General features: G+C 44.9%; 1 long non-coding RNA gene across 1 annotated transcript in view, besides 2 other annotated features; it reads left to right on the top strand.

Annotated features, from left to right (window-relative positions):
- The window catches only part of LINC02325 (long intergenic non-protein coding RNA 2325), a 122,568-nt gene that overhangs the window by 72,408 nt on the left and 35,604 nt on the right, over positions 1-14,556 (top strand). Inside the window, exon 3 of the long non-coding RNA NR_110166.1 lies at positions 5,415-5,455. This is a non-coding gene — a long non-coding RNA (long intergenic non-protein coding RNA 2325). The remainder of the gene's footprint in view (positions 1-5,414; positions 5,456-14,556) is intronic.
- Positions 3,567-4,068: an enhancer, noted in NCBI's record as "H3K4me1 hESC enhancer chr14:98001127-98001628 (GRCh37/hg19 assembly coordinates)". NCBI's record gives its function as "activates a minimal SCP1, AML or CMV promoter by ChIP-STARR-seq in primed H9 embryonic stem cells {active_cell/tissue: H9 hESC(primed)}" and the evidence as "EXISTENCE:reporter gene assay evidence [ECO:0000049][PMID:30033119]".
- Positions 10,493-11,692: an enhancer, noted in NCBI's record as "MED14-independent group 3 enhancer chr14:98008053-98009252 (GRCh37/hg19 assembly coordinates)". NCBI's record gives its function as "activates an origin of replication core promoter dependent on BRD2, BRD4, P300/CBP and CDK7 cofactors, and independent of MED14, by STARR-seq in HCT116 cells {active_cell/tissue: HCT116}" and the evidence as "EXISTENCE:reporter gene assay evidence [ECO:0000049][PMID:35650434]".

Genomic DNA, 14,556 nt, shown 5'->3' on the forward strand with positions numbered 1-14,556 from the left:
CAAGTAGCTGGGATTACAGGCACCCACCACCACACCTGGCTAATTTTTTGTATTTTTAGTAGAGACAGGGTTTCACCATGTTGGTCAGGCTGATTGTGAACTCCTGACCTCAGGTGATTCACCCGTCTCAGCCTCCCGAAGTGCTGGGATTACAGGCATGAGACATGCGCCCGGCCACTGGTCACTGCTTTTAAAAGATGCTGTTATCAAATCCTCAAGCATGTGCCAGGCTGCCCATGGCATCTTCTATTTGGTCCTCACAGTAGCCTTGTAAGACATGCAATATTATTAGCCCTGTTTTACACACGAGGAAATGGAAAGCATAACAGGCAAGGAGGCAAAGACTTTCTTGTTTTCTATCTGCCTTCAGCCTTATAGCAGGCATTCAATAAATATTACGACTGATTCAACGGAGGGATGAATGAATGGAGAAGTTCAGGGAGTTCCCCAGAACTGTCCTGAGTGGGATTCCCAATCAGAAATCCAGGCTCTGGGCATCCCCTAGGCCTAGGGCACAGATGCATTTCCTGTCAGAGGCTGCTGTCTTGCATATCCATCTCTGTGGTGCTTTATCTGTCCTTTTTTTAAATGTATGTTTGCACCTTGTAAAGCACCTCTTCCCTTGATTTGAAAAATGGGAGAGTAGGGGTTGATTGTGGAAGAGCACCTGGTACTTAGTGGGCCCTTTATAAATGCCTGTGGAGTGCTTGGGCCACCAACCACAGACTCACAGTCTCATGAACCTCATTCATGCCCACCTCTGTCTTCCCTAAAGAACTGCAAGTTCTTTGTAAGCAAGCCTGTGTGTTTGAAACTCCGTTCATCAAAGATTTGATAGCTTGAAGAGTATGTTGTTTTAAAGCAGACTTGCCATGCTACCTAACAATGATACTGTTGATAACAGCTCTCATTCATGTAGCACCAAATGAGTGCCAAACACAGTGCAGGCAGGGTGCATGCCCTTCCTTATTTTATCTTTAGAACAATCCTATGAAGTTAGTATTGTCATTAGTATCATCATCATCATCATCATCATCATCATCATCATCATCATCATCATCATTGCCATTCCAGTTTAACAGGGGAGGATTTGGGAGAATGGACAGGGGAAATTGATTGCCCCAAGAAGTCAGGCAGGTGTCATAGTGAACCCTCAAAGCAACTCCACTGGCAGTGGCCCCATGGACTCTCGTCTCCTTTCTGCACTTTGGGGACAATGTCCAGCCTCTCCTGGTTTCCCTTCTTTAACTCAGAGACACTCTGAGCTCTGGCTCCCAGTGAAGACCAAAGCAAGGCAGGTCTGTTTCTGGCAGGTGCTGTGGCCACTGCGGCTGCTGGAGCCAACATGGACTGCTGTAGATTTTCTTTGGAGGGGCACTCAGATCCATTTCAGTACTGGGTCATTCATTTGAACCATTAGTGTCTTAGTCTATTTGGGCTGCTATAAAATACTATAAGCTGGATAATTTATAAACAATAGACACCTATTTCTCACAGTTCTGGAGGCTAAGAAGTTCAAGATCAAGGAGCTGGCAGATTCAGTGTCTGGTGAGGGTCCCCTTTCCTCTTCATAGAGGACAGCTTTTTGCTGTGTCCTTACATGGTAGAAGGGGTGAGGGAGCTCTCTGTGGCCTCCTTTATAAGGGCACTAATCCCACTGATGGAGGCTCCACCCTCATGACCTAATCACCTCCCAAGGGCTCTACCTCCTAACACCATCACCTTTAGGATTCCAGTGTATGAATTTGGAGGGGACACAAGCATTCAGACCCTAGAGATTAGAATATCGTTAGCTCAAGCAAGCTCAAGTGTCTTTTGGGCATCACAGTGAGGAGCACCTGGCTTTCACTGTAGTCCACGCACGTCTCCTAATCACTGGCCTTAAGTCTTGTCGGTGCCCTGTTCTCTCACTTAACCCCAAGGTTGGAATCCAGCAGCTCCTGACTCCTCTGGGGATGCCTTAGACAAGCCTGGCCTTCTTCTCCCACAGCCTGCAAAGTGCCCCAAGGCAAGGCCCGAGGGGCATGTCTCCCTTTCATCTCACAGGCCCTCCTTTTCCCTGTGGGGCAAATCTCTCCTCCCTGCGAGTTGGATCCATGGCCTCCACTTGCAGCTAAGCTCCACCAGCTGCCTCCACCTGTCCACTGCTGGACAGGGGCTTATGTTCTGACCACCTCTTCTCCTCATTTGAAAAATAGAAGAGTAGTGGCTGATTGTGGAAGAGCATCTGGCACTTAGCCCTTTATAAATATCTGTGGATTGCATGGATGCACCAACCATAGACCCGTTGTCTCCAAAGGAAACCAAGTCACAGTGGGCGGTTGGGACTCAACCCTCACAGTGCCAGGGTTGTACTGAGGGCTGGACACTGCCCCTTTGGACCTTCACCAGGTCCCTCTTACTAACTTCCACACCCTCTCCTCCGCAGATTGTCATAGACAAGCCCGTGCCCCTTCTCTGCCCCCATCAGCTCCTCTCCCAAGTGCTGTCTCTGTGCTCGGCTCATGGCATCATGCTATCTCTTAGAAACATGTCGAGGTAGGTTCACTGACTGTCCCTAAACTGGCCCTGTCTAACTCTCCAGCCTTCTTGTATCCAACAACTCCTGCAATATTCTCAACTCTGGCCACTGGAGACTATCCACAGCATGTCCAAAGCCCGTTCTACTTGCATGCTGACGTGAGGCTGCAGGGGAGGCTTCGAGCCTCAGAATCCAGCCCTGCATGTCCCTGTCTCACAGCACAGACCATGCCCCTTCGGTGTCTTGTAGTTTTCTTTTTTCCCTCATTGGACTGGGACCCTCCTGAGGGCTGAGGCATCTCTTATTCACCTCTGTTTTCTTAGTGTCTGCCCAGACGGGATTTTGACATGGAGTAGACGCTCAGTAGCTCAATAGAGCTTTTTGTATACATGAAAGATTTATCACGGTGCCTCCAGAAAGAATGATGGAACTTGCATAAACTGACACGATTATTATTGGAATTCATTTATTAGAAAAAAAACTTCAGATATTTTATTATCCCAAACACTGCATTTCAAGACATTTTTTATGCCAAACCTGACAAATGGATAGCTTTCCCCAGGTTTTTTTTCTTTTAATTATTTGCATTCATTTTCTGTTTCAAAGACATTTTAACATTGGGCAACCAGCTGATGGCTTAACAGATGTTATTAATGGGAATATTAGAAAAATTAAAATCAGAACTTTTAATATAAGTTGAATGAAATGCTCAACCACCCGGCCAATCGAAGGACTGATTATGCATTCTGGGAGCACAGGAGAAGGTGAAGGACTTGAGTGGTGTTTAGTGTGGGGAGACAGGAAGTGAGCTAGGGAGCGGGACTCAAGTCCCACTGCAGAGACCCTCAGGAGCCCTGAAACCTTGGGCCACTCTCCTCCTCTTCCTACACCTGAGTTTCTTCATCTAGACCCTGAAGAGGGGCTGAATGAGGTCCTCAATTTGTACCCAGGAGCTTTCTAGTCCTTCAGAGAGAGCTGTGAACCCACTAAACTGCATGCAAAATTGAGGTGGATGCGCATTTTTCCAAAATAGAGTGTTCACAACTTTTATGAGATTTCCAGAGATCTGTGACTCAAAGACATTTAGTAACCATTAAACTAGGCAGTTTCTAAGCTTTGTTCACTTGTTAATTCATTCATTCTTTCAGTCATTAAAGTAGCAGAGATTTTTGGGTATGTGGTAGGTGCCAGGCATTCTTACAGGCACTGGAGATACAGCAGTGAACAGGAAGAAGTCTCCACTGTACTGTTTCCCACTCAGACCATGCTATTTATGTGTGCCGAGAATCCTGTCTTGATTAATATCTGCATTGACCTTGAAAGTCAAACACATTCCTCAGCTATTTGGCTTTGATCAGGTACGTAGGATCCAGGGAGAGCTGGACTACTGTGAAAGGCTGGCGGCTGAGCCTCCAGGACCCCACTTCAAGAGGCAGACATGCTTTCTGGAAAAGTGTTTATTAAGGAGCAGGCAGCCACAATGCTGGCCAGGCTCAGTGCCTCGGGGACGGGCAGTGGGCACAGTGGGCCCAGCTAGTTCTAGGGCACCGGGATGCGTGACACCAGACAGCCATTTCCATAGACAGCAGGAGACAGATCAGTGCAGTCTCTCCCCTCAGCTTTCTGTGGCAACAGAGATTCCACAGGGTAGTGGGATTCCCAGCCCTGTGGCAACTTCCTGGAGAGGAGGACGGTGGAGATCTAGGAATCAGGGCAGCGGCAGCTCCCAGACAGGGTGGCACTTTGATGGGAATTGAGTTACCTCAATCCCAGGGATCAGCAGACACAGATATGCATATGGCTTTTGGAGCCCTGTGTGATCTGCTGTTAGCCCCAGTTCAGGATGCCTGGAAAACACAGGTCACATTTACACCCAGGTGGCTCATTTGTGAACAAGGAGCCTGGAGGGGCCATTCTAAGATGTCCTGCCTGCTCTTTATGGGGGGTTAGACAGGCATGGCCTGGGCATGGGTCAGGAGGGGTCATCTTCTCTCCAAGGGTGGTGAGAGCATGTTGTGGCCCAGAAGAGGTCCAAGGAAAGGAGACTGATATCCGCCTTCCACCAAGCTGGGAATGGAAGACTCTGTGATGGAGCTGGAATCCAGGGAGATGTGAGGACCTGCCACACAAAACACAGAACTCCCATTAAATGTGAATTTCAGATAAACAAATGGATATATTTTCAGGATAAGTATATCTCCAATATTGCATAGGACATACTTCTCCTGAACAAATTGTTTTGTTTGTTTGAAATTCAAATTTCACAGAACATTCTGTATTTTTATTTGCTGAATCTGGCAACCCATCCAGAATAAGAGCATGGCTCTATATCTATAAAATTTATTTTTTTTTTTACAAAAACTGATGTCAGGGCCGATTTGGTCTACAGGCCATATTTGGTTGACCCCTGATCTAAGAGCGTGCGACACAATCCAAACAAAGTTGTGTGGATGAGACAGAGCCAGCTGGTAGCGCGGCCAGAAGCAGGAAGTCCCTTGTTTGCTAGAATGGCTCCTAGCACACAGTAGATTCCTAGCCAGGGGACTTGTTATTAATCTATGCACAAAACTTACATCAAAAAGGTATGAAACAATTGCATGAATGCCCTTATGTGGGTCAAGCATGCACACACTGCAAGGAAAGGTATAGCTTGCTGGATAAGGTATAATATAAGGTATAGCTTGCTGGCCCTGAGGCCCCACCCACAGAACATAGGTCTGAGGTCCAGCACCTCCTGGTTACGTTTTTGTGAGACATGACTTCATCTCTGTAAGCCTCTGATTCCTCATTTGCAAATGGAAGCTAAAAATACTTATTTCATGAGGTTATACAAGGATTGATGAGTTGCGTTACTTATAATAGTGTCATACAGTTCTCACTTTTTCCTTGCCAGCCCTCAGAGATTCCTTCTCCTCGCTGCTCCTCCTCTCCCAGGTAAGTACACATTGCCCCAGAAAATAGAAAGACTCTTCTTCCCTTTAACTGGCTCACAATTAAAGGAACAGAATCCCTCGGTTTCTGCTGCCAGATCACATTTGCTAAACAATCATTTTGCTAACTGGGATTCAGACAATGTAGGAAGAAACACTTGAAAACAGTTTTAATTGGTGTTGAAAATAAAAAAGGGGAGAAAAAAAAAGTCAGAACATTATTAATTTTTGCTGCCGTAATGACCACTGTAGAATTGGCTGGTTATTTCCCCATTAGAACATAATGACATCCATTGTTGGCGGCTCTGTACTTGATTATAAGATAATGACAATAATTCATTGTTTGCCGCTCTTTACCTTGAGACAAGGTAACCATAAGTTTAAAGGAAGATGTACAAGAGGTAAATTATATGTTGCTAAATATGAAACAGCACCTCACTTGTCCTGGTTTATAACAATAAAAACAACAATTTTAGATAGAACATATATTTAGTAGGTTTTCCCCCTAGGAAAGACAGAGACATTGATCATCACATAATTACTACAAAGGAAAATCCTGCTAAATTGTTAGGTTTAGATACGATACAAACCATCTTCTTGAACTATGCAAAGAAAAAGGAGCTTTTTGAACCTTTTGCTTGCTGTTTGAACGAAGCCTTTTCTAATCACAGAGCTGGAAGTCACCCCAAAGCTCATCAGGGTGGGGGTTTTCAAGAACCTTTTAAAAATGCAGCACCTATGTACAAATATGGTTGTTTATGGATAGGCCATATGTGAAACAGATTTGAGCCTCAAACTCAGTGCTTTTCCACCACACCCTCTGCTGTGTCCCCAGTCATTTGGCTCCTGCCAGCTCCTGCCTGCAGAGGCTGCACCCACTTTGCACTAGCCCACAGGGTTACAGCTTGGCCTGCTTGGTCTCTTTTCTCCACCAGCAGTCAAATGAATCTTCTAACCCCCAGATCAGATCCATCACTCCTCTGGAGGACAGTTTGGCAATTTCTTACAAAGCTAGACATGGTCTTACCTTATGATTCAGCCAGCGTGCACCTGAGCTTGTATCCACATAAACTGGAAACAAATGTCCAAGCAAAAACCTGCACACGAATGTTTACTCATCATTGCCAAAAACTGAAAGCAGCTGAGATGTCCCTCAATAGGGGAATGGATGAACAAACTGGAGTTCAGCCATACAGTGGAATATTATTGAGCAATCAAGAGAAATTAGCTATCAAACCATGAAAAGACATGGAAGAAATGTAAATGCACGTTACCAAGTGAAAGAAGCTGAAAAGGCTATATACTGAATGATTCCAACTATCTGACATTCTGGAAAAAGCAAAGTTAGACAGTAAAAACATCAGTGGTTGCCAGAGTTTCAGGGCGAAGGAGGAGGGGTGAGCAAGGGGAGCACAGGATTTTTAGCGCAGTGAAACTATTGTAGATGATGCCATCAGGGTGGATATGTGACACTTATGCGTTTATTTGAACCCGCAGAATGTACAACACAAAGAGTGAACCCCAATATCCCCTAAGGACTTCAATTAATAATAATGTGTGAATATTGGTTCATCGATCTTAGCGTATGAACCACACTAGTGCAAGACGTTTAGTGGAAACTGTGTGAGGGGAGAGGAGTAGGTGAGAACTCTCTGTACTCTCTGCTCAATTGTTCTGTAAACCTAAAACAGCTCTAAAAATAAAGTCTATTATTTAAGAAAAAACCCCCAAACTATAACTGAGCATCGCTGTCGGTTAAAAACCCAAGTCCCTACCGAGGTCTCAAGCCCCTCCACAGCCCGCCTCTGCCATTTCCATGGTTATTTCTTCCACTTCATCCCTCTTGCTTCCACGCCTCATGCTGGCCCTTCCCTCAGCCCCTAGTCTTGCTCTTGACCTGTTCCAATCTCTGTCTGAATGCCACTTGGGCCATCCCACCTAGAGGATGGTACTCCATGCCTCCTGCTATCTTCTCTCACTGGCTTTTGTTTTCTTCTTATATGCTGCCCTTTATTTTTCTCTTTATTTTCTGTCTCTTCCACTACAAGTTCACTGATGCTCCCCCAGCACCTGCCAATGGCTGGCACATAATAGGTGCTCAGTAAGTATTTGTTGAATGAATAAAGGTGGGGCTGCTTCCCCTCATCTCTGTCCCCCAGGAAGCTCCACCCTGCTTGAAATGTCCTGGAGATGCAGTTAAACAACAGATCTATCTGTTGATCTTACACCATGATGTTGGTTAGGGTGTGGGCCCTGCAGGGCCCCGTCGCCTGATGGGGCATCTTATGTGGCACTCTTTAACTAGGGACCCATGGGGGAAACCCCACCACGTTCTCCAGGGCTGTATCTTGAAAATGGTCTTAACACAAGCTTGAAATGTTTTTTTTTTATTCTAGCTTTAAACACACACACCTACACACAGAGAGAAATGTTAAGTTTGCTGATGACGTGTGATATGGTTTGGCTGCGTCCGCACCCAAATCTCATCTTGAATTGTAGTTCCCATAATCCTCACATGTCGTGGGAGAGACCCAGTGGGAGGTAATTGAATCACGGGGTGGTTACCCCCATGCTGCTGTTCTCATGATAGTCAGTGAGTTCTCATGAGATCTGATGGTTTTATAAGAGGCTTTTCACGCTTTACTCAGCACTTCTCCTTCCTGACATCACGTTTGCTTCCCCTTCTGCCATGATTGTAAGTTTCCTGAGGCCTCCTCAGCCATGTGGAACTGTGAGGCAATTAAACCTCTTTCCTTTATAAATTACTCAGTCTCAGGCAGTTCTTTATACAGCAGCATGAGAATGGACTAATATAATGTGACAAGGTTTAAAGTCTCACTAAAGCTCGCATGTGGCTGCTGGATGAAGACCTGCAATCAAGATGCAATCTGTGCAGAGGAAGGCCAAGGTTCTGCTGGCCCAGGGCCAGCCCTGCCGTTGTCTCCTGTGCTGTTGGCTCCAGCAGGAGCTTCTTTCATTGAACGTGCTGAGTGGAAAATTCTCTCCACATCTGGATGACACCATCTTCCCAGGCCACCTCTTGGGGACATTCTGGTTCTACTTTCTCCTTCCCTTTGGCAGAGCCTCGTACTTAAGTGCGTGGTCTTGAGCTGGAGTGTCTGAGTTTGCAACCCAGCTCCACAACTTATTAGGAGTGTGGCCTTGGGCAAGTTACTTATGCCGCTGTGCTGCAGTTTTCTCATCTGTAAAATGGGAGGACGGAAAAGGAAGAGTTCAGATTAAATGATTTTGCACATGTCAAGTGATTAGAAGAGTGCCTGGCAAATTGTAGGTACAAATAAGCACTAGCAATGATGCACACTGGTCGTGTCAGTGGCATTTTGAGACTTCCCATCCCCATTAAGTGTCAGCATGACTCATCTCTTCTCCATACCTGTACATAGATGTCTCAGCCAGTTCTGTCCTGGGCAGCAATCCAATGGCTCTCTCTTCAACATTCCACATTGTATTTGGACTGGAGAAGCTGAGGTTGGAAGTTGTAATGTGGCTGGGTCAAGGTGATAGAGTAAGTTGGTATCACTCAAGGGATAAAAATCTGGAATCTGTAGGAGATGCTGGCATCTACTTTCTCCCTGAAAACGTCACAATGAAACCATAGGGCCACTGCCCAGTCCCACAGGTGCAGCGGTGCTTCCTCACTGTTCTGAGAGTTATTGATCTTTTTGAGACTTAAGGTGGGGTGGACATGAAGACCCACCTCTCAGAGCTCCAGGGCATCACTGACCAAGGGCTCCAGCTGCTATGCTCTGAAATCTGTCAACCGCTATGTTAGTTCTCAGGCCACATGTCCCAGAGGATGCTCTTGGCCAAAGACTGAACACAGCAGGCCCATTCCTGCGAAACCCAGGACTTCCTCACCCAGCAGCTTTGCTTGAAGACTCCTTCAGGGCCTTGCAGTATTTCCTTCAACGGCACTACAGATGCAGACATTTCTGCCCAACCTTCTTTCCTTCCCTTTCTGCTTCACATGGATCAGATCTCTGTCACTGCCAGACGGTTCTACCTGTCTCCCTTCACCCCCTTTGCATACCCGCATCCTAGGCATCTCCTTAAGGAAATCTTTTGCATGTCTATTCCTGTCTGGGCATCTGCATCTCAAAAAACTTGGACTGATATCCGTGTGACATAATCTTTTCCCGGTAAGGTGCACCTGTACACAGGCAATCAGAATTCAGGGACTTTCAGACACCTAAACTGCATCTGCCACAGGTCTTCATTTAAAAATGTCAGTATTTGGCTGGATGCAGTGGCTCACCCCTGTGATCCCAGCACTTTGGGAGGAAAAGGCAGGAGGATCGCATGAAATCAGGAGTTTGATAGCAGCCTGGCAAACAGAGCGAGATCTTGTTTCTCCAAAACACTTAAAACATTAGCCAGGTGTGGTGACGCACACCTGTAGTCACAGCTTCTCAGAAGGATGAGGTAGGAAGATTGCTTGAGCTAGGAGTTGGAGTCTGCAGTGAGCTATGATCACACAACTGAGCTCCACCCTGGGTGACAGAGCAAGACCCTATAAAAAACAAATGAACAAACAAAAACCCCAAAAGCCAAAACTGTAATCATTTAAAGCAATTGAAGCATATAACAGAAGAAATTGTCTACGCAGTTTGAGATCAGTTTGCTTATTCATTCAACAAACATTTACTTGCTGTCTATTTTCTGTCCAGTCTAACGTCAGCACCAAAAGTGCACAGCTACTGCTCTTAAGACGCCCCCAGGCAGGTGGGGGAAACAGGCAGACAAAGAAGTAATACACTACAAGTGATTTTGTTGAAGCGCAGTTGGGCATGAAGAAGAGAGAGGGAAGCCCATGTTGAATCTTGAAGCAGGAGTAGTTTGACAAGAAAAAAGAGGAGTATGTGTTTCTTTGCATGGGGAAAAGCATCTTGTGAGCTCAGGTCGATAAAAGAACATGGCTTGAGGCTGACACGGTTCACCACAGCAGCTAAGAGCACAGGCTCCAGAGCTAAGCTGCCTAGTTCTGGGTCCTAATTCCACTACTTCCTAGTGTGTAGACGTGCATGTGTTTCTAACCTCTCGTGCTAGAGTAGTGCCCTGGGAAAAGGGGCTAGTCATGCCTCATGAGGCTGTTGGGAAGATTGAAATAGTTCATAAGTACAAAGCTACTTAGATCAGTAAATGGCACGCACTCTTAAATATTATCCGCCATTTTGGCCACTGCGTCAAAAGTGTCAGGTAATGAGATTTAAAGGGTGATTGGATTACACTGAGCACTGCGGGCGTTTTCTCTGTAGACAGTGACTCTGCATTTTCTGGACCTTATGCGCTTACTAAGAGTTGGGCAGGCATCATCTTTGAATTTCATACCCAAAGCACAGGAGGCACCAAAATACTCCAAGTCTGTCTCAGGAAAGGGCATAAACATAGAAATGCAGCCTCCCAGAGGAATCTCAAAACCATCTGGTTCTCCCTCCCACCCAAAGCAGGAAACCCCTTCACAGCATCCCAGAAAGAGGGCCCTCCAGCTTCTGCTAACACACTTCCAGAAAGAGGTCCTCACTCCCTCACAAGGCAGCTTGTTCGGGTGCACCCAACTGCTGAAAAGTTTGTCCTGACATTGAGCTGAAGTCTGTCTCCCTGTAGCTTCCACCGCTGTTCCTGGTTTTCCATCTGGAATTCCAGAGAACAAATCAAATCAGCTCCCTCACCCCTGCAAAGAAGAAAGAAAAAAAAAAGATTTGAAACACGTTGGTTGTTCTTGAATATTTTCTTCAGGGTAATTGTGTCCGATTCTCCCACCCACTTTCCCCAGGACCTGGTCTCTAAACCCTGTGACCCCCGGTTGCCTGCCTCTTCAGGGCTGGAGGCCCATTTGAAATTGAACTTTGGGACTTGTCTTGCCTCTGTATTCTAGAGAAAGCCAGTGCCCCAATTTCAAACTGCTGCTGGAGGAGGGGTACTTTTTCTCTTCTCCTGGAGTTTTATCCCAGGTGGCGGGGATTTCACTAGCATAGCACTACTGGCCTCTCTCTGTCCCCTCATTTGCCTTACTTTAAGGGTAAACTGTTTGGGAATTTTGGAACGAATACCCTGGGATGCTTGGCTCAGGTCTCCTTCTATTCATTTATTTAAAAATAAATGGAAAAGTCATAGAAAGCTACCTGTGCCAGAGAATGTGAGTTCTGTGTGTTCCTGAATGTGGTCAGTTTTGTCTTAGGTTCCTCGGGAAACGGTGATTGCAGTAACCCACTCTGGGAGATACGTGCTAGGGAGTCCACCCACTTGCAGATAGAAGCCTCCTTCTCCTCGAGCTGCTGGAGAAGCAAGGTGTCATTGTGACTGATGGTTTCCAAATCACATGGGGGGAAGGAGTGCTCTTTATAATGTTCCCCTTAAGGCCCCCAAACCTGCATGTGATGGTTCAATGGGAACCCTGATATTTCTGCAGTTGGATGGTTTTTTTATACACGTGTTCTCAGACTATGCATAGTCACAGATATACAATTTTCAAAAAATAGTATCTTTAGACTGCATAAAACATTCTGAAAGAGCTACATAATTGTCTTCATTTTAAGTTTCCTTTTCAAACTTACCAGCAGTACTTTCATGAATGTCTAATCTAGACAATCCTTGATGAATTGACCTGAACAGAATCTCCCCATAATCCAATTCAGCATGGCTAGATGGCGACCACTTTAGCCTTATCTCAGCGAGACCCGTGACCTTTAAAATAATCACATTGTCCTCTCTATGCATCTTTAAGTACTTCCCTAATACATGGGGACAGGCCAGCCCTGGGACTGTAGTGCTCCTTCCTTAAAGAGATCTAAAACCTCCTCTACATCTCTCTTGTCCAACTGGCTGGAGCTATGTTTTTTTCCATGCGGTACTTCGTCAGAAAGCACCAAAAGTCAAAAAATTTGCATGCATACCCAAGCTGAAAACTTCAGCTTTTATTTTTCATTTTGAGAGTATGAAGTCTGAGTTCTTGTTCATACTCCATAAACTCAAAAGTCCTTTTCATCAACACCTTTTTTGAAATGATACAAGTTTCACCTACCCCAAAACACCATACAAAATATTTATTTTTTTAACTGCCATTTTGAAAACAGGTAGGTATAGAATATCTTCATTAGTTAAAAAGTACGTTTTTTCTTCCCTGTAGCTTTCCACTTAAAAAAATCTAAGTTTCCAGTTTCCTTTCCCCCAACAATTGTTTAATCGAATATTTTGACTTCTAGTACCAGTTAGAGGAATATATATATTAAGAGAACTATCCTTCTATTAGAAGGAAAAATGGCTTGCCCTTATCTAAATGATTTACACACAGAGGCAAACATTGTAATTCAGGAAACCACTTGCTGTGGTTCAGAGAACCAGAGAACTAACATCCCTTTTTTTTTTTTTTTTTAGTCTCCTTCTGTATTTTGTTTGTTTGTTTGTTTGAGACAGGGTCTTGCTCTGCTACCCAGGCTGGAGTGCAGTAGTGCAATCAGAGCTCACTGCAGCTTTGACCTCCCAGGCTCAAGCTGGCCTCCCATCTTAGCTTCCCAAGTAGCTGAGACTACAGGCGTGTGCCACCAAGCCTGGCTAATGTTTTTCTTTTCTGTAGAGATGGGGTCTCACTATGTTGACAGGGCTGGTCTCCGACTCCTGGGCCCAAGTGGTTCTTTTGCCATGGCATAGCATCTCATAGTGCTGGGATTACAGGCATGAGCCACTGTGCCCGGCCTCTTTGTCTCCTTCTGCTTGGACATCAGGAAGGTTCTCTCTCCCCACTGTCTCATTTGTACCCCACCATCTGTGCAGAGGCCTGGCCACTGCTTCTCTGGAAACTTCTCATGAATTCAGAATCCAACTCCCACTCCTAACGGAAACTCAGCAACCTCCTGGGACCTCCAAGTTCCCAACTTTGCCTTCCTTCTGCCTCTCTCAGCTGAAACTGAAGTGAGTCATTTGGAAAGCAAGTTGAAATTATTATTACTATTAATAATTATTTTAATACATTCACTCTGGGAAACTTTAAATTCTCTACCAACATGCGCATACGGAAGCTTCTCAACATAAGTCCTGACCTGGTCACCAGGCACGGAAGGAGACTTCCCAGTGGTATTTTATAGAAGAGGAAGTTGAGTCAAAGTGAGAATGAAATGACCTCTCAGCAGCTGGTAAATTTCATATTTGAGTTTCAAAACCAGATTCTCTAAGTCCAGCATTTCTCTTTTTATACCACACTCTCCACATCATCTCTAAAATGGGTGTAATTAGACCTATCTCATGCGATGAGAATAAAGAGTAAATGAAATGAGAGATGCAAAAAGCCCATCTTACTTGCAGTAAGTTGCTATAAATATAAGGCATGTTATCATGAATGCTTGAAAAGCTTAAAGCCTAGATTTTCTACTTCCAAGGTCCATGTCATCTGCCAAATGTCCCTTCTGAAGTTCAGTTACCTTATCTATCATTAATTAGTATTTATGTGTACCTGTAGGGTTGATATTTATTATAAAGTCTGTATTGGAGTCACTGGCATATAGTAGATGCTCATTAAAAGTCAGTTTCATTGTTTATGGGAACTCAATGATAACAGGGACTGATGTGAGCTTGAATCAGGAAGTCTTTATGAGTAGCGTTTTTTTAATACCTTCTCATTTAAAAAGAAATCTAAAACCTCCAAAAACAAAAGCAAAACACCAACAATGATTTTCATAATGTTCTAAAGCAGCAGCCCCCAACCTTTTTGGCACCAGGAGCCGGTTTTGTGGAAGACAATTTTTCCATGAACCAGGGGAGGTGGGGGAGGACTTAAGGATGATTCAAGCTCATTACATTTGTTGTGCACTTTATTTCTATTATTATTACATTGTAAAAATATAATGAAATAATTATATAACTCACCATTATGTAGAATCACTGAGAGACGTGAGCTTGTTTTCCTGCAAGTAGATGGTTCCATCTGGGGGTGATAAGAGACAGTGACAGATCGTCAGGCATTAGATTCTCATAAGGAGTGCACAACCTAGACCCCTCACATGTGCAGTTCACAGTGGAGTTTGTGCTTCTATGAGAATGTAATGCCACTGCTGATCTGACAGGAGGCGGAGCTCAGGTGGTAATGAGAGT

Source organism: Homo sapiens, chromosome 14 (genome assembly GCF_000001405.40).
Source record: "Homo sapiens chromosome 14, GRCh38.p14 Primary Assembly".
NCBI classification, from domain to species: Eukaryota; Metazoa; Chordata; class Mammalia; order Primates; family Hominidae; genus Homo; species Homo sapiens.